The sequence below is a fragment of the Homo sapiens genome, chromosome 3 (genome assembly GCF_000001405.40).
Source record: "Homo sapiens chromosome 3, GRCh38.p14 Primary Assembly".
Classification (NCBI taxonomy): domain Eukaryota; kingdom Metazoa; phylum Chordata; class Mammalia; order Primates; family Hominidae; genus Homo; species Homo sapiens.
Genome location: NC_000003.12, coordinates 175763939 through 175785280, shown reverse-complemented (window position 1 = coordinate 175785280; position 21342 = coordinate 175763939). Strand labels below are relative to the sequence as shown.

General features: G+C 35.2%; 1 protein-coding gene, 1 long non-coding RNA gene and 1 pseudogene across 22 annotated transcripts in view; 1 reads left to right on the top strand and 2 right to left on the bottom strand.

Annotated features, from left to right (window-relative positions):
• NAALADL2 (N-acetylated alpha-linked acidic dipeptidase like 2) overlaps nucleotides 1-21342 on the bottom strand; it is a 1369567-nt gene that overhangs the window by 25268 nt on the left and 1322957 nt on the right. The gene's annotated exons all lie outside the window — the stretch shown is intronic.
• On the top strand, nucleotides 8948-11703 carry NAALADL2-AS1 (NAALADL2 antisense RNA 1). Its single transcript, NR_046714.1, has 3 exons — nucleotides 8948-9015; nucleotides 10123-10338; nucleotides 11617-11703. It is a non-coding gene; the product is annotated as an NAALADL2 antisense RNA 1 (long non-coding RNA).
• Nucleotides 17620-17723, bottom strand: RNU6-1317P (RNA, U6 small nuclear 1317, pseudogene; annotated as a pseudogene).

The window sequence follows — 21342 nt, the reverse complement described above, 5'->3', positions numbered from 1 at the left end:
TCAACAAGACAGAAAGTCAACAAGGATACCCAGGAATTGAACTCAGCTCTGCACCAAGCAGACCTAATAGACATCTACAGAACTCTCCACCCCAAATCAACAGAATATACATTTTTTACAGCACCACACCACACCTATTCCAAAATTGACCACATAGTTGGAAGTAAAGCTCTCCTCAGCAAATGTAAAAGAACAGACATTATAACAAACTATCTCTCAGACCACAGTGCAATCAAACTAGAACTCAGGATTAAGAATCTCACTCAAAACTGCTCAACTACATGGAAACTGGACAACCTGCTCCTGAATGACTACTGGGTACATAACGCAATGAAGGCAGAAATAAAGATGTTCTTTGAAACCAATGAGAACAAAGACACAACATACCAGAATCTCTGGGACACATTCAAAGCAGTGTGTAGAGGGAAATTTATAGCACTAAATGCCCACAAGAGAAAGCAGGAAAGATCCAAAATTGACACCCTAACATCACAATTAAAAGAACTAGAAAAGCAAGAGCAAACACATTCAAAAGCTAGCAGAAGGCAAGAAATAACTAAAATCAGAGCAGAACTGAAGGAAATAGAGACACAAAAAACCCTTCAAAAAATTAATGAATCCAGGAGCTGGTTTTTTGAAAGGATCAACAAAATAGATAGACCACTAGCAAGACTAATAAAGAAAAAAAGAGAGAAGAATCAAATAGACACAATAAAAAATGATAAAGGGGATATCACCACCGATCCCACAGAAATACAAACTACCATCAGAGAATACTACAAACACCTCTATGCAAATAAACTAGAAAATCTAGAAGAAATGGATAAATTCCTCGACACATACACTCTCCCAAGACTAAACCAGGAAGAAGTTGAATCTCTGAATAGACCAATAACAGGAGCTGAAATTGTGGCAATAATCAATAGTTTACCAACCAAAAATAGTCCAGGACCAGATGGATTCACAGCCGAATTCTATCAGAGGTACAAGGAGGAACTGCTACCATTCCTTCTGAAACTATTCCAATCAATAGAAAAAGAGGGAATCCTCCCTAACTCATTTTATGAGGCCAGCATCATTCTGATACCAAAGCCGGGCAGAGACACAACCAAAAAAGAGAATTTTAGACCAATATCCTTGATGAACCTTGATGCAAAAATCCTCAATAAAATACTGGCAAAACGAATCCAGCAGCACATCAAAAAGCTTATCCACCATGATCAAGTGGGCTTCATCCCTGGGATGCAAGGCTGGTTCAATATACACAAATCAATAAATGTAATCCAGCATATAAACAGAGCCAAAGACAAAAACCACATGATTATCTCAATAGATGCAGAAAAAGCCTTTGACAAAATTCAACAACCCTTCATGCTAAAAACTCTCAATAAATTAGGTATCGATGGGATGTATTTCAAAATAATAAGAGCTATCTATGACAAACCCACAGCCAACATCATACTGAATGGGCAAAAACTGGAAGCATTCCCTTTGAAAACTGGCACAAGACAGGGATGCCCTGTCTCACCACTCCTATTCAACATAGTGTTGGAAGTTCTGGCCAGGGCAATTAGGCAGGAGAAGGAAATAAAGGGTATTCAATTAGGAAAAGAGGAAGTCAAATTGTCCCTGTTTGCAGACAACATGATTGTATATTTAGAAAACCCCAATGTCTCAGCCCAAAATCTCCTTAAGCTGATAAGCAACTTCAGCAAAGTCTCAGGATAAAAAATCAATGTACAAAAATCACAAGCATTCTTATACACCAATAACAGACAGAGAGCCAAATCATGAGTGAACTCCCATTCACAATTGCTTCCAAGAGAATAAAATACCTAGGAATCCAACTTACAAGGGATGGGAAGGACCTCTTCAAGGAGAACTACAAACCACTGCTCAAGGAAATAAAAGAGGATACAAACAAATGGAAGAACATTCCATGCTCATGGGTAGGAAGAATCAGTATCGTGAAAATGGCCATACTGCCCAAGGTAATTTACAGATTCAATGCCATCCCCATAAAGCTACCAATGACTTTCTTCACAGAATTGGAAAAAACTACTTTAAAGTTCTTATGGAACCAAAAAAGAGCCTGCATCACCAAGTCAGTCCTAAGTCAAAAGAACAAAGCTGGAGGCATCACACTACCTGACTTCAAACTATACTACAAGGCTACAGTAACCAAAACAGCATGGTACTGGTACCAAAACAGAGATATAGATCAATGGAACAGAACAGAGCCCTCAGAAATAATGCTGCATATCTACAACTATCTGATCTTTGACAAACCTGAGAAAAACAAGCAATGGGGAAAGGATTCCCTATTTAATAAATGGTGCTGGGAAAACTGGCTAGCCATATGTAGAAAGCTGAAACTGGATCCCTTCCTTACACCTTATACAAAAATCAATTCAAGATGGATTAAAGACTTAAACATTAGACCTAAAACCATAAAAAACCTAGAAGAAAACCTAGGCATTACCATTCAGGACATAGGCATGGGCAAGGACTTCATGTCCAAAACACCAAAAGCAATGGCAACAAAAGACAAAATTGACAAATGGGATCTAATTAAACTAAAGAGCTTCTGCACAGCAAAAGAAACTACCATCAGAGTGAACAGGCAACCTACAAAATGGGAGAAAATTTTCGCAACCTACTCATCTGACAAAGGGCTAATATCCAGAATCTACAATGACTCAAACAAATTTACAAGAAAAAAACAAACAACCCCATCAAAAAGTGGGCGAAGGACATGAACAGACACTTCTCAAAAGAAGACATTTATGCAGCCAAAAAACACATGAAAAAATGCTCATCATCACTGGCCATCAGAGAAATGCAAATCAAAACCACAATGAGATACCATCTCACACCAGTTAGAATGGCAATCATTAAAAAGTCAGGAAACAACAGGTGCTGGAGAGGATGTGGAGAAATAGGAACACTTTTACACTGTTGGTGGGACTGTAAACTAGTTCAACCATTGTGGAAGTCAGTGTGGCGATTCCTCAGGGATCTAGAACTAGAAATACCATTTGACCCAGCCATCCCATTACTGGGTATATACCCAAAGGACTATAAATCATGCTGCTATAAAGACACATGCACACGTATGTTTATTGAGGCATTATTCACAATAGCAAAGACTTGGAACCAACCCAAATGTCCAACAATGAGAGACTGGATTAAGAAAATGTGGCACATATACACCATGGAATACTATGCAGCCATAAAAAATGATGAGTTCATGTCCTTTGTAGGGACATGGATGAAATTGGAAATCATCATTCTCAGTAAACTATAGCAAGAACAAAAAACCAAACACTGCATATTCTCACTCATAGGTGGGAATTGAACAATGAGATCACATGGACACAGGAAGGAGAATATCACACTCTGGGGACTGTGGTGGGGTGGGGGGGAGGGATAGCATTGGGAGATACACCTAATGCTAGATGACGAGTTAGTGGGTGCAGCACACCAGCATGGCACATGTATACATATGTAACTAACCTGCACAATGTGCACATGTACCCTAAAACTTAAAGTATAATAAAAAAATAAAAAAAATAAAAGCGTTATGTTAATTTTTTTTTACCTTTTAAACTTTTTTTTTTTTTTTGCTAAAAATGAAAATACAAACAAACACATTAGCCCAGGCCTACACAGGATCAGTATCATCAATTTTTTTATAAGTAGGAGCACACTCTAATATAACAATTCAATGTATCATATAGTAAGTACATAAACTAGGATTGAAGTCATTTATTATCAATCATCAAGTATCAGGTACTGTACTTAGTTATAATTGCTATATGCTTATATGACTGGCAGCAGTAAGTTTGTTTATACCATCATCACTACAAACACATGAGTCATGCATTGTTCTTTATGTTACCAGGCAATAGGAGATTTTCAGCCCCATTATAATCTTATGAGACCACTATAGTATATGTGGCCCATATTTGACTGAAACATCATTATTCAGCACATGATTTTATAACATAGATTTGCTTTTGTGTACTATCTTAGACACACTCATCAAAATCCCATTAAAAATAATGAAAATAATTTTTAAAAGCATTTGTCAATTTGAGAAATAACTTGAAAGTAGGAGGATATAAATTTCAAACAAGTGCATATTCAACTTTATTTACGGTTTCATTTTTAGCTGAGTTCCCAGATATTTAATCTCTTAAAAATAAGTGTTGACTACAAATTGAAATTACACATTTCAAAGTAAAAATATTACTCATCAGAAAAATGTAAGCTGAATACCTGTAGTAGGTTATTAGCTTCACCATTAATCTCTCATGTGCCTTTTGAAAATAAATAAGATTATTAAAGAGTTGAGCCCAAAGGCAAGGAACACATAGCAAGGAAGGCACAAAAATAATATTTTAATCCTTCAAGTACAGCAAATAATTGTGATATTGCTATATTTATCGCAGAACATTTTTAATGATGCCTATTCTTAAAATCTTGACATGTTACAGTTTTAAAAAAATGACTTCATTGAAATGTTTCTATTCAACTCCATGTAGCAAGGTAAATTTTGCTTTATCTTTTTTAATGGAATTTGAAAATTGTTTTTCACTTTCCAAATGGAGATGAGATACAGTGATATCAATTGTTATTGCTACTATTGAACAGCTGTGAATAAATAAAGGCTTTGAGGATAAACCATACCAGCTTTGCCCTCCTGTGGTTTTATTAACACATAAAGCATCTGCTCAGAGAAAAATCTTGTCTGACAGTATTTTGGAACCGTTTCTTTTCCATTCTTGTTTAGTATTTGCTATTTTTATGTACATTTTTGAGATATGTGTGTATATATGTATATATTTTATGTAAAAATACATGTATATGCAAATTTGCATATGTGATACGTATACACATACTGTTTGTGTGTGTTTGTGTGCATGTGTGTGTAGTGTGTTGTGTTTAATCAGTCCCATACTAGACTATGAGGAAAAATTCTTTTTATTGGTTTTTTTTTTTTGAGACAGAGTCTCGCTCTGTCACCCAGGCTGGAGTGCAGTGGCGCGATCTCGGCTCACTGCAAGCTCCGCCTCCTGGATTTATGCCATTCTCCTGCCTCAGCCTCCCGAGTACCTGGGACTACAGGTGCCCACCACCACGCCCGGCTAATTTTTTTTTTTTTTGTATTTTTAGTAGAGACAGGGTTTCACCGTGTTAACCAGGATGGTCTCGATCTACTGACCTCGTGATCTGCCCACCTCGGCCTCCCAGAGTGCTGGGATTACAGGCGTGAGCCACCGCGCCCGGCCCTGACTATTTGGAAAAATTCTAAATTTTTTTGTCCCCTCAAATCATGTAACAGAACAGTAAGCTGCTAATTATACTACAAAATATTACATGTGATAGGAATAAAAATCAGTAAGAATAAAAGACATTCCACACTAAACAAATGTATTTCTGTCCTAAGAAACAAAGGGCTGATAATATAGTTTATAGGCAGGAAAGTGAAGATAGAAAACCTTGTATTACTTAAAGGTTGTTGAAAATTTCCACAGCAGCCTGTCTTGATATTCTCAAGTTACCATACTCTTCATTTCAAGAAACCTTAATTTTCATTGTATTCCCATGATATTCCCAAATCTTAATTTGCATATTTGCTTCATCAAAATAAAACTTTATTTACAGAAATACTACTCATACCACTAATTATCCTACTTGAAAGCATAGTGTGAGGTTCACCTGAATACTGAAGTTTATATGCTTAATGCTATGAAGAATACATTATAATTTTTGCCCTATTGAGGTAGGAAGAACACTTTAAAGAAGTAAACATTTTGAAAAAAAAATGAATTACATCTAAAAAGTAATATCAATAACAGAGAGGGAAAAATAAGAAGAAAATACTGGGTGGTCAGTATCAAAATTATGTTCATCTAAGTGTACAGTTCATGCTGTTTCCCATGTAAGAGATCAAAATACACTGCCCCCAGATAGGCTGCTTTGGCCTATTTGTTATTTAGAGTAAAAAACATTTGAAAAACAGCAGATGCAAGAAGTGCACTCTGAACTTCCTTTTTCTTCCTGAAAGCAGGAGATTAAATTCCTATGTGAAAGACATGCTTATCACTAGGGAAGTGGAGGCTGACAAAAATCTACACAAATAAATCTTGTTGAACTAACAAGCCAATCTTATCTTCCTAGTCACTTTTCCACAACTAACTGCCCTAGCCCACACCCCTCTGTCTTGCCGCTTTTCCACAATTTACTATTCTTTGTTCAGCCTAATATATAAGCATTCAACTTCATTTCTTTGAGTCTTCATTTTTTTGTGTGTGTGTGATGGCTCTCAGGTACATGTAAAAATTACTAAATAAAACTCATATGCTTTTCTCCTGTTAATCTGCCTTAGGTAAATTTAATTCCTAGGCTCAGCAAGAAGCCCTTGGAGGGTAGAGAATAAATTTTGCCTCCCTTACCCGTACAAGACAAGCTTCCTGGCCCATCACCACCATTCTCTCTCTCCATGATCTAGAGCACATTAAAGTTATTTAACTCTGAAACTCTTCTTCCCCACTTGTAAAATGGAAAATATTAGTCCTTACAACCTAGAGTTTTTATAATAATTACATGAGCTGAAACATGTAAAGTGCTTAGCACAGTGTCTGACATATACAATAAAAAGCTTTATATGTGTTACTTATGCTATTATTTGAGATGTTTGCATTTTGCTTCCTTGGGGACATAATCCCACAGCCCCATAATTCTCAACTGACTTTGTCCTTAGTAACACAGAGCTGTGAGACCATCAGATGACATCTCCTGCCCAGGAAAGAGTTTTTCCAAAAGGAACTTTCCCGGAACAAGGGAGAGACCACTTCTATAGGACACTGCTAGGCCAAGTACATATCATGCCTTGTAAGAGTCTATACAAATAAACTAGCTGTCCTTTTATATTTGACCACGCCATTAACTAATTGAAAATGCCACCCATTCCCTTTTCTGTAACTACTCTACTTTCCTAGTGCTACTTTTTTTCTGTATATATTCTTATGGTCAAACCAGGAAAAATCTATCTGGCACTCTGGACTGTGCTTCACAGGGAACAACTCCCTTCCTCCACATCCCTAGTAATTCAACCCCACCAAATAACTTTAGATTTTATATTGCTTTAGATAGGAAGGTGTTGGTTTTCTAGCCAGACATATGTTAGTCACAAAGAAGAAAGATTATTTTAAAAGGTGTATGCAGGTCAGAATAATCAGACAGCCAATAGTAGTGGTATACACACAGACACACAGACTGCGTATGAAAACATTATGCTAAACGTATTTTAACTATTAGAGAAAATGTGTCTTGAAGTTCATCAGTAGGTTGAGAGAAGCAAATTCTTTGTAATTTTTAAAGGATCACGGTAAATTATTGAGAAAAAGTTCCACATTGAGAAAAAGTTCTACATTTTCTGACTTGGAGTATGGGAGGAGATCCAGCTACTGACTCTCAGAGATACTGATGAAAGACTTTTGTGGTCTGGATAAACTACAGTACTAATTTAACACAGTTCAGAGTCCAACAACTCATGTTTTGCCAACAACCCTAGGCAGAGTTTGTTGATTTATTCTGACTGCAACCACAGAGGCTGATGGTTTTATCATAGCACTAGTCACATACCCTTGTAACTCTGACAGATACTTATCTCTTCTTGGCAAAGCTCTTGAAGAACACGAGTTTCTCGTTCATTGTGTATTTCTCCAGGTTTCCAAACAGTAGATACTAAATAAATTTGATTGCATAAATTAACAGTGATAAAAGTAATAACTGCTAATACTTGAACATTTAGTATAGGCTTCCCCATATTCCAAGCATTTTGCATATTTTAATGCATATAATCCTCAAAATAACTTAATGTCATAGGTACTATTATTATTTCCATTTTATAGAGAAGGAAACGGGGCACAGAGAGGTTAGCTTAACATCACATAGCCCTTGAGTAGTAGAGTCAGGATTTAGAAAAGTACATTATCGAAAGGGTTTTAATTTCAATATCTTAACTGCTTTTGGATTTATTTTAAAACAATATTCCAACAGGAGCTAAATTTGAAACTCACAGATGACAGAAAAAAAGCTTCTGAAAGAAACAACAAAATAGACCTTTTCCAACTTGCCAGAGTGTAGCAATCCCCAAACTGACAAAAATTCACAGCTTCATCAATCAGAAGACGGCAAATAAATTTTCCTCCTTACTCCATGACACTGGTTCCCTTTCAAAGTCAAGTTAGATAGTATGAGATAGTTGCCTGAGAATGTTTTCTAACAATGTAGTCAGTTTATTATAGATATTAAGCACTCATCCACCCACCCTAAACATTTAAATCTGTATCTCTTTTAATGTAACAATTTAGGGTTGAACCAGCAGGTATTTTCTGAGCATAATAAAGACATTGTTCCAAAAGCAAAAATATAAAAATAAAGAATATAACCTTCAGATATGTGCCTCATAAACTCCGACTCTATTCCCTTCTTATCCACTGTATCTCTGTTAAATGTCTGCCCCTTTTGATAGAGGGAAAAAAATCATGAATTGAGATTTAATCATTGACAGACTTTCTACAAAATTTCTTGAAGAATTTTTATTAAGCAAAATTGGGATCAGAGTCCAGTCTTCGAGATGCAGACTTTGGGATAACTGTTTCTTAATGTAAAGGGACTGCAACAGGTAAATGAAAGGGGAAATCTGCTAAAATAAAATTAAGCAGTTGAAGACAGATTTTAAGTTGTATTCACTTTACTAAGAATGGGACTCGATAGTTTCCATAAAAGAATTGGTCAGAGAGGTCCAAACAAATAAGCACTGGGGGGAAAAAAAGACTCTGTTTTCTGAATGGCAGTTGTTGGAACAATAAGAGAATTAGAATGTAAGAACAATAAGAGAATTAGAATGTTGGATGGGGGAAGGAGAGCCAATGTTACAGGTTGAAAGAATGAATGAGCGACACAGGATGAAAGACAGCAAGGGAACAGGCTACTGGGGAGGTATGTCAAATGGAGGAGAGGACAGTAATATGAAAGAGTTGAGGGGAGAATGTCTGATTTGTTTTAACATAGGCCTTGGAAGTATGTTTTCAAATCAGAGGGCAGAAATCACTGCAGCAACCAAAACGATTGATAATGTGTAGAAATGAAGGTGAGAAGAGTTCTGAAAATTGACAGAGCAAGGCCATAAGGTAGGAGAAGAAGGAGGCAAGAATAGAGGTGACCAACTTAGCTTTGGAAAAAATCGCTTTTACTCTTAGACGGAAGTGAGGGAGAAAAGGATACAGACGGTAAGACATAAAGGGATGAAAAAAGACAGAAAGCTCCTGTAGCTGGCTCAGTTAAAATACTTTATGACTCAATTCTATTAATAGAATTTATTTGCTATTTTCCACTAATACTACAAGTGTGGCAGTGTCCTGCCTAACCACTGCTACAACTCTTCTAGCCCAGGAGGACTCCTGTGATGTTAACACATTATTGCTTCTCCGTTGACTCTTGTGGTATCTGTATATGATAACACATTGGGGTTAGGGTTCAGTGATTCTTTCTGATGGGGTGCCCAAAGCAATTTCATCCATGATCACAGACTTAGATGAATTCAGGCGAACAGACTTCGCAAATTGGCAAAAGAATGCTAAGGAAACATCTAATGAGACTTGAAAGAGGAAGTACTTTACCTTTTGATCATCTAGTTTCAAGCATAATGCCTAGAATAGAATAGGCACATAAATGTTTGCTGAATTAATGAATTTATGAATGAAGCAAATAGCAGTTTGTTTGTTCATTTGTTTGTTTTAATGAGGCTTTAGAGAAATCAGATTATAGTTGCAGAAGTTTAGTAGCTATAAGGTGAATTTTGAGTAATAACTACTATTATTACAAGTAATTTCATCTGAAAATAATATTATTCAAGGATAAAGAAAATATTCCCTTTCTATATTAAGTATGACAGATGAACGAATTTACATTCAACAAATATTTTATGTTTGAATTTTGTTTTGTTTTGTTTTACTTAATGTCTCAGACACTCACTCCTATGGACTCCCATATTTACTTTTCCTTTTTACATCTTCCCGCTTCTATATTTGCCATCCACTATCACAGATACCTGTAACAACATCACCAACCACAGTTGGGGTAATGGAGAATTTCTAAAAAAAAAAAAAAAAAGGCCTTACTACTTTCTGATCATATCTTAGATATGTCATAAGCCAAACATCCTACTTTGAGTCAACTCAAGTCAATGGGGTATATCATCTATAAGAAAAATGTGGGATATTTGGGAACATCTACAGAAACACTATAAAGTAGAACTATAAGGTAAGTTGCATGTATAATTTTACATTTTCTAGTAGTACATTAAACTACATAAAAAAGAAATCAATGAAGTCATTTTATTATTTGCTGAATATTATAATTTCAACATGAATCAATATAAAAATTATTAATGTTATATTTTCACTTTATTTTTACTTTTCGGTAGTATGTCTTAAAATCAAATGCACACTTTATACTTAACATCTTAATTTTCACTAACTACATTTCATATTATCAGTAGCCACACATTGCTAGTGGCTACCACATTGAGCAGCATAGATCTATATAGGTCCAGATCACACAACCACAGGGTATTTTTTAACTAACAGCTAATTGAGTTCCTTAAAAAAATTATTTAGAATTATTTTTTTTTTCTGCAAACAAACCAATGAGTCAGGCTTATAACTACTTATATCTACTTTACTATGTTGTTAGGCTCTGTATACTCTTTATAGACATCTCATAAGGGAGTAGTAGGAATAAGCCAGGTATTTTTAAAAAATAAGGATTTAAAAAATTTTTGTTTAACTTTTTCTTTTAAAATGAATATAGGTAATGAAATGGAAGTCTGAAATAACAATGTATTTCTTAACATTCATATAAGTCAAACATTTTTGGCTGTATGCTGCCTGCGTAGAGGTCTTGTTTATGTCTAGCTTACCATAAATCTTAATGTTTAGAATTTTAGTATCAAGGAAAGCATATAAATATCTTATAGTCTTGTTAAAAGAACTTGAAGATGTCCTCCCACTGCTGAGGCCTTTCATCATGTAAATCAGAGTAAAGATAAGTGGTCATGTTATCAAACCCTAAAATAATAGTGTGTATTAGAAACACTGACAGAGCTTTAATTGTAGCAGCACAAAGTATACTACTAACTGTACCATACATCATCAATAAATAGGAATTTAGGATGTAGTTTGCTGCCTTGACCTTCAAGCTCCAATTGTGTTTCAGTCATCAAGAGTTCATAAATAATATAATTTACAATCTCTGAAAAGAGACTGTGTGGACACAATAAACCACATATGTTATATGGGGGAAGAGTGGCTATATAGTTGGCTTCATGGTCTCAAATTCAGTGAATCTTAATGGCAGAATTCACTTATGTCAACTCATTGCTTTTCAATCAGTAGCAAATAGCTAGTGTTTACTGCCATATTTTTTATGATCTTATAACAAGTGTTCATTTTAGAGAAACTTAGATATTGGCCTGTTAAGCCAAAAACATTGAAGTCTCAAAGATCTCTCAGCAAACGTTTTTCTGATTATCACTTTAAGATGAATACCCCTGAACTACATGAAAAGTTAAAATTATACTCTCCTGTACCAGAAAGAGAGCTACGATCAAGAGGACTTTATTTATGGACAGTAACATTACTACTTATTCTGAGGTCATGCTTCCTGAACACTGCAATCAAATTAAAATAACCTTAAATAGCACTTGGAAGGGCAAATAACTCACAAAGCCCAACAGACTGTCCCTTAAGAGAGGTAGAAGAAAACTGAATAACTGAAGCAATCACCAGCAGGTTCCAGCAGCTAGACACAATGATATCAATTAGAAGTAACCAATAAAAATACAGAAATGAAAAAAAGAAATAACAGAAAACTAAACTATTCATTCATTTTTCTAGTTTTCAGCAGCAAACCATCTGTAGTTATTTTGTCATAGAGGCAAATGACACTCTTTGAGGACTCAATTGTATTATAAAAGAATATATAACTTGACCTTCAATCAACAAGAGAAGGTTAAATGTTATTTAAGTAGATTTTGAGAAACATAACAACTGTGATACCTTTCAGTAAGGTTTTCTTGAGAAATACCCTTCCACTTTCTCATTACCATCTCCTGAAGACTGGAGTTTACTAATTATAAGATCCTGCTTAAGTACCATCTACCTGTTAACCAGGATACATGCCTAAATCCTACCCCAGCTGAAAAGAACAATAACACAAACCTTTTACTCCTCGATTTCTCTGTATCTATTTCTTCACCTTTTTGGCAGTTATTGTTGAAGATATTTTATATGTATTTTAGATTCTAAGGCACGGAGAAACACTAAAATGTTGCAGAAGAAACACTAAAATGTCACAGAAGTAACACTAAAATGTCACAGAAGTTAGGTTACAACAGCGGGAAGGATCTACTATTCCTAGGGTTGGAGAATGGAAATATTTGGAATTATTAAAGCTGAGAAGCTCAAAGGAAGTGTCCTGTGAAGTTGAAACTCAGGCCTCTGAATAGCGGCCACTGCTTAGCTATAACTGATGTCTCTGAGATCAAAGACGGAACCCTGTGTAACTGGACCCCAGACCTATGAGGAAGGACTTTAGTCCGCTCGCGCTGGTGTCTCTGATGAGTATTGTGAGTCTGATTTAACTAATTTTGGAAAAAGTGAAAATCAGTGCTAACTTCTACTACTAGAATGAACTGTCACTACTTAGGTGAAGAAGCTTGTTAGGGTGACAATGACAGGAAAAGAAAGCAAAAACAGGAACAAATTGTAGATAGAAGCATCTTTTCTTCCTCCTCCTGACTTCCAGCTTTCTTTTACTGCTTCTTATTGTAGTTTATCAGGGAGTCAACTGGCAAAGTGAAAATGCAGTTTGTAGAGTCCTAGTCCCAGGTTAACACAAGATGGTATACAAGGTTGGGATTGCAACAAAAAAAAAAATAAATAAAGCTGAATAAACTAGCACATCTATTCAGAAGAAAGCCATTGTCTAATCTACACTCATATTCCCTGTATTATCTGGTGCATTGAGCTGAATGTTGACTGCAAAGATACATCCAGATTTTAATCTCTAGGACCTGTAAATGCTACCTTATTTGCAAAAAGCGTCTTTGCAGATGTTGATACGGTTTGGCTGTGTCCCCACCCAAATCTTGAATTGTAGTTCCCATAATCCCCACATGTCTTGGGAGGGACCCAGTAGAGGGTAACTGAATCATGGGGTGGTTAACTCTTGCTGTTCTCATGATAGTGAGTGAGTTCTCAGGAGATCTGATGGTTCTATAAGGGCCTTTTCCCTCTTTTGCTGGGTGCTTCTTGCTGCTGCTATGTATAAGTTTCCTGAGGCCTCCACAGCCATGCTGACCTGTGAGTAATTAAACCTCTTTCCTTTATAAATAACCCAGTCTTGGGTATATCTTTATTAGCAGTATGAGAACAGACTAATACAGATGTGATTACGGATTTTGATATAAGGAGATTATCCTGTATTATGTGAATGAGCCCTAAATCCAATCACAAGTCTCCTTGTAAAAGAGAGATGGGGAGAGATTAAACAGATACACAAAGACGAGAAGGCCATGTGAAGACTGAGGCAAAGATTGGAGTGATGTGGTCACAAACAAGGGAATGCCACAGCCACAGGGAACGGATTCTCCCTTAGAGCCAGAGAAAACATGGCCCTGCTGACCTCTTGATCTCAGACTTCTGGCCTCCAGAAATGGAAAGGAATAAATTTCTGTTGTTTTAAGCCTCCTAATTTATGGCAATTTGTTATGAAAGCCACAGGAAACTAATACATTTAGGTTATGCCTTTTACATAATAGATACTAAAATTTTATGAAATAAGTAAAATGGGAATCACAAAACCTTTGATTTACGTAGAGAAAGTTTAATCTACATAGAAAATCTACTAATATAACATAACACTAATGAGTTAAGATAAATGGAACCTGTCTACACCTAATCGAAATTGTATGCAACATTAACAATTTGGCTTTGGAAAATATGATTTTATGGATTATCAAGCCTTTCAATTGTGACTTATAATAATAAATACATAAAATAAAAGGGCAAACATTTTCTGAAATAAAATGAAGCATAGGTACTCATCAACCTCTAGTAGTTAATCTAGAAAAATATTTTACTACATATTTAATTCTTAACTCTCTATGTCTGAAATGACTTTCTATTCACCCATGTGATATTCTATTTCAGGAAAAAAGATGGCATTATGAATCAGCTTTGAAAACATTTCTATTCTTTAGTTGTTCAAAGCTATCTATTTAATTTCATGGTTAAGAAAAGAAAAGAGAAATTGGAAACACAGGAAATGTACAAACCACCTGCAGAGAGGATACTTAACATTTGGTGCCTATATTACATTCTTCCCTCTAAAACTTTTGTGTCTAACAAGGCTACATTTTATTGGCTTTTGAATTATATTGTGTAAAATTAGATTGAGTTAGCATATCATCCAAACTCCCTGGTGTAGCATATGTAAGCTTTGATTAGAAGATGAGACCTACTATGATTAGCAATAAAAAAATTGGAGGCACTGTACCTGGCACATTTGAAGGCTATCCCTTCCAGAAATATTTGGCCATGTTTCCTCCCATTTCACATTATTGCATAAAGAGTAGATTACTATTTGCATGCAATTATTTTGGATGAGAAAGAGAAGGCAAGGCAAATTTTTAGTCTACATTAGGATTAGCCAAATATAACTAGACATACACAAACAGACCTTCTTCTCAAGATTATTTAGTCATTTAAAATGCATAACAAAAGTAATCTCGCCTTGTCAATCATATTATTTGAGCTGAAGTCAGCAGAATCCCATTTAGAAAAGATTCATTCTTTCTACATCATAGCTGTTAAAATCCACTGCTCATGGGAAAGACCTGTTATTCTTGATTTCTTCCCTCACCTTCATCCTCATACCTAATCCATCACCAAGTTTTTGTAGATTATATGTCTGAAATGTTACAAATTAATCTTCTCGATATTTGCATTCCCACCAACATGATCTCTGTGATGATTAATTTTACGTGTCAATGTAGTGAGGCAATACTGCCCAGTTGTTTGTTCAAACACTAGTCCATATGTTGCTGTGAAGGTGTCTTACAGATGTTAATTAACATTTATAATCAGTTGACTTTAAAGGAAATTGTCCTTGATAATGTGGGTAGGCTTCATCTAATCAGTTGGAGGCCTCAAAACAAAACATGAGGCACCCTGAACAAGAAAAAAAAAATCTGCCTTAGACTATTAATATAACATAGAAATTCTAACTAAATTTATAGCCTGCTACAGCCCACCTACAGATATTGGAGTCAAGACTATAACATCAACTCTTCCCTGAGCTGTCAGCCTTCATTGTCCACAGATTTCAGACTTGCCAACCTCCTCATTCATATGAACCAGTTCCTTAAAATTACACACAGACACACACAGAGACATACACACAGACACACACACACATGCACACACATATACATGCCATCTCCTATTGTCCTATTGTTCTGTTTCTCTGGAAAATCCTGACTGACATGCCTAGATTATTAAAAGACCACATCATTTCTAATTTTTCCGTTTTTTCCATTACCTCTAAAATCTGTTTTCTACATAGCAATTAGAGATATACAGAATACATGATGATAGATTATACATAAATAGATAAAAAGTATGTTACAATCTACCTATAATGAGATATTAAAGGCCCTGAAAATAATGCTTAACCCCTCTCTATGGCCTCTAGGCCCTTGTTTGATTTTTCAGTCTCAGCCCAAGTTAATCCCCAAATCTATTTAGCTACCTTAAAGGAAAAGGTTATGTTTCTTTCCTTCAAGACAATTGTAAAGTTTGTGATTACATATTTATTTGGTCTTTTGTCTGCTTATTCTGTGTTCCTTCCCAATAGAAAGTAAAGTCCCAAAGGGTAAGGTTGATATTTATATTTTTGAGCATTGTATTCTCAGTGTCTGGTACAGTTCTGCCTATGGTAGACACTGCGTACTTGCTGAATTAATAAGTATAATGGAATCAGTAGTAATTTTAGATAAGTATTTTGAAAAAGTGACATCAAATTCTAACTTACAGGTAAGAAAGGTAGTAAGATTAAAAAGAGAATCAGGAAATGCAAGAAACAAAATATTACCCAAGCCATAGGCATTAATCTTACAGTCTAGATAGGAGTAATAGCAAATATTAAATATCCATTTTTGTATGTGTAAGATAAAATATATTCTGCTTCTCTTTTGGTTCACAATATGATCATTTTATTCAAACTCAGTTTTAAATCTTCTTTTTATACCACTCCTTTCTGTGAAGTTACTACAATTTTTTTTTTTTTTTTTGAGACAAAGTCTCATTCTATCACCCAGGCTGGAGTGCTGTGGACCAATCTCAGCTCACTGCAACCTCTGCCTCCCAGGTTCAACTGATTCTCCTGTCTCAGCCTCCTGAGAAGCTAGGACTACAGGGGTGCACCACCATGCCCAGCTAATTTTTTTGTATTTTTAATAGAGACGGGCTTTCGCCATGTTAGCCATGCTGGTCTCAAATTCCCGACCTCAAGTGATCTGCCCACCTTGGCCTCCCAAAGTGCCAGGATTACAGGCGCGAGCCACTTTTGTTTGTCAAAAAACAAATGCCTGGCCGAATTTGTTTTTTAAAATAAAATTCAGAATGGCTGCAAACAGGTTCTATCCCTTAACCAGTTTATGTAATTTACCATCTCTGGTAACTTTGAAGAAAAAAAACTAATGTTTCTGAACTTCAGAGCCCTTACCAACACAATGGGGAAAACATCTACCTGGATGAGTAATCTGATAGATCAAAAAAGTGTATACAGAGGCCCTGGGAGTACACGGAGAGAGAGAGATGGCTTTGAAACAAGAAAGGCCTGGTAAAATTACCAGCCCCAACAATTATTACATAAGGTATTGTGAAGACCAGAGATATGCATCGAGTATATGAAGTGCCTGGTACACGAGTTTTATTTAGTTCTTAAAATTCTCATAGGCAGTATCCTGATAGCCTAACCATTGTTTGATATGGACACGTATTATACATGGAACAATCCCAGTAAAACCCGGTGTGGGCCGACAAAACCCCAATAAAACCCCACCATGACCAATTATGGCACAAGTCAGGTCCCGGTTCTTTTAAGATCCAGGGACAATGGCATAAAGGACCAAGAAAGTTTCTCTGGATAAATTAGTCAACAAACATTTTTCGAAGTGCAGTAAAAGATACAAAATTTGCAACAGTCATCATGCAGGATTTGGAAGGCAGAAGTAGAACCGAATCTGCTTTCTTCAGCAACGGTTTCAGGCAGATAAACAGGCAAATGTCAGAAGGAGATTCATAGAATTTCTCCGAGAGCTGCTGGAAGTTGCCTGCCTGAGAACTGCAGGCGGCTGGAACTGTCACTGAAGGTTCTATTTCAGTTCTAGTAGTTCTTGATTCTATGAAACTTAGCTTAAAGAAAGCTAAGGAAACTTCAAGCTTCCTTGACTTTAAAATATATACATTTTTTATTTATAATAATATGGAACACTTCATGAATTGTCATGTCATCCTTGCGCAAGGGCCATGCTAATCTCTGTATCATTCCAATTTTATTATATGTGATACCAAAGTGAGCATTTCCTTCACTTTTATATCTTCAACACTTCTAATGCACATACAAACTTAGAATTCTATTCAAATTATTCCTAATTTGAATATCTAGATTGCCTTCTAACTTTCTCATTGAAACTTGTCAGATAAAGGTAGACTGGGAGGAAATACTAGAACCTCACTATATGTAATTTGAGGGTTTGTTGCAGTTTTTTAAGGATTATATCAATTGCACATTAAATCATGTATTAAATTTAGCTCTAATTATAGACTATGGGGTGAGTACTTCCCATTTCATCCATTATTGCCCTTATAAACTTCCAACTTGATCTAAACTAAGTATGATTATATATTTATAGACCTATTTTTTTTAATCAGTTAAAAATGCTGTAGTCTTGTGTTTTTAGCAAGCAGACTGGTTAAGCAGCACACTCAAGTGTAGTGGCTGGCAAATCATGTACTCCTCCGAGGTGACTGTGGAAAAAGAGGCAACATTCATATTCCTTTCCTTGTCAACTAGTGTAGCTCATGTAAGCTTTCATTTGAACAAAAGATTCCACTGGGGATGGTGTACAGGACTAAATGTGTGCTTTATAGAATCGTGCCTATTGGCTCCCTGTCCTTTCCTTGTGTTTCATCTCAATATGCTATACTTGCTCCGTATTTTTTTTGTGGCTTACAGATCTACTTTCTTATTATAAGAAGAAAATTTTGCTACTCAAAATCTAGAAAATGTCAAGTGCAAAATGATTCCTGAGCATTTCATCTCCTAAACACACGATTTACACAGCAATTGGAAACTTTAGTTTCATTATGTAGCAAAATGAGGTTTTAGGTGCTTCAGTACAAAGAAAATACTCAGCATGATCCTTTCTCTTAATTCTCTTTGGATCATATTAAATCAGAAAGATATTTATACACATAAAAATACAATAAAATAGCAGATAAAATAAAGGAGAGAGAAACAAATGCTAAAATGTCTAACATGATTTCATAGGGAACCTAGATTTCATTATTTTTCTTCCCCCATTGAATTATTTCCCTGAAATGCATTTAAAAATATGGAAGTAAATTTGTATTAGTTATGAATACTTCATCAGCTAATATTTTCATTACCTTAGAGATTCACTAGTTTATCTTTTCTTACTTAATTGATTAGAGAATAAATGTCATGGAAGTTAAGTGACTTATTCTGGAGTCTTTTGGTGTCTTCAGCCCACAACTCTAAGATCCCCGTCTACTGAGCCCCCCTCTATACTATATTGTTATTTATGTAAAAACATTTTAAGTATAGTATATGAGACTTAGCAGACAAATATGCCTACTTTTTAAATTACATCTAAGATTTACGGAAACATGAAGGGATAGACACTATTTTGAGACAAGATAATTTTATTGATTCAGGACAATAAGGCATATCTCTTATCCAGAAGTAGGGATATATTTGGTGTCTCACAGATGCAATTTTGTCACTATCAAGTTAGGGGATGTAACTCTGAAATGTGAAAAACGTAATCTATACATATCTGGCTATATTAACACTATAATCTCATTAAATTTATTGGTGATTTCTGAGCAAACTAGGGATAATTTGGATCAAATGTATGCAGTATTGTCTAGTAGAAAGAGTGGTGGTTTTTAGAGAAAACAAACTAGGTTTGAATCCCATTTCTGCCGCATGTTAACTTTTCCTAAGCCTCGGTTTTCTTATATGTATAAAGGGAATAATAAGACCAATCTGGCAGGATTGTTAGAAGTGTTACAAATAATACATGAAAAATGTGCAGCACAGTGCCTGGCATACATAAATCATCCTCTATGGAAAGTATTGTTGTTATTGTTAGTCTTAATTATTCAATGCATCATCAAGTCAAAACTCACCCTCAGACTGGCAATGGGTCTTGACTTGCAAATATGACAACAGTAATTTTTTCTCACTTTAAATGAGAATACACCTTAAAACTGAAAGAAACATTTTTATAAAATCCAAACAGTTATACACACAAGTATTTCTATTTTGATACCAGCAGACTGGATCTCAGACTAATTATCCTTATTTCATTGTCAACTGAAATTTTTAAAACAAGTTTTTAAATGTCTAATCAAATTGTATTTGAATGTTGTCTGTTAAAATGAGGTATGTTCTTTGTTCTAATATTGACAAAATGAGTGAAAAAAATGAGGCTTGAATTTTGGCATATTAATCTGGTTTTTCTTAAAATTTGGGGGCTTTTCTGCTCCTTTTAGAAATGGAAACTTTAAAAATATTAAAGGGACACATAATTATAAAACTAGTGTATGTATTTATTCATAAAAGGGTAAAAGGGAATGTATATAATGATCAGCGTTACAAAGATTTTTTATATGAGCCAGGTCTTCAACCTTCTTTTGGAAATTTTACATTGTCATTGTATAGATTATAAAATTTTGTATGCATACATAGATTCTTTTGTGCAAGTGGTCGCTATTAAAATATGTTAAAAGCATTATGGTAATTCTTAATCACTGTTTTTTTTCATAGTCTAAAGAAATCAGAGGCATTGCTCATAGAATTAATGACAAGAAAAACAATGGTGGGATTTTAGTTCCATTCAGACCACCCACACCTCACTAAAAGAAAGTACAACCTGAACAAAGTAGTCATTATCCCAATCAAACACGGAACATGAGGTCCTTTTGGGACTTACATAACCAACTCTAATTAAAACACCATGAAAACTGTATAATGAGATCATTGTTATTCTGTAGTGATTTGGGGGGTTTGGGTTTCAACCTCTTAAAATTATGTATGTACTGAATATGTAGCTGGAAACTGATCATATAATACCTGAGAAATGTGGCTTTTTAATAGTTCCGTCTCATTTCATTGCTTGCCTAAATATAAACTGGTTCTAACATCTTTCAAAAGCAAAGTTTTGGGAGCTTATGTGTTTGAAAAGTACTTTTAGTGGATTGCTTTCTTTATTCTTGGTTAAAGGCAGAAGCATCTTGACATTTACATTGCTATTTTTCTGCTTTCAAGGATGCTAACAAAAAAAAAAATGGTCTTGGCTTGGATTAGCTTGAAATGGTCCCCTGAGCTTCCACAAGGTCATTCTGGCAATCTCTGAAATAATTTCCTTTGTTATGAACCTGCTGTGACATCTTCCATAAGGACACAATGTCAGAGACACACAAAGGCATGCACATGTATATACACATACATATACTGTCCCTCAAATTACAAATGGGCTGTGCTCTCCAAACTCCTGATTATGCCATTGTTTGGAACTCAGAAGTGTTTTCCCAAAGAAACAATCATATAAGTGTAGTTACTGAGATAGTCCCTATAGTCTGCTTAGCCAAGATGTAGCTGAAATACCATACATAAGAATGAAAAATGGGATACTGGACCATAATCAATAGTTTTGTTTTAATTATATTTAAATTTAATTATATTTAAATATAATTAAAATAATTTAATAATAATAAAATAAAGGTTAATTTAAATAATTAGCCTTTAATTCATCTCTAATGGTGGTGTTAGAGGATGTTCACTTTTCCTAAGAGTCCTATTTCTATCTAGCAGCCAGAATTAGACACTGGCTCATGTTTGCTCCCTTGATTTCTCATGCCTTTCAAATCAATCCAAATGAAAGAGTGAATC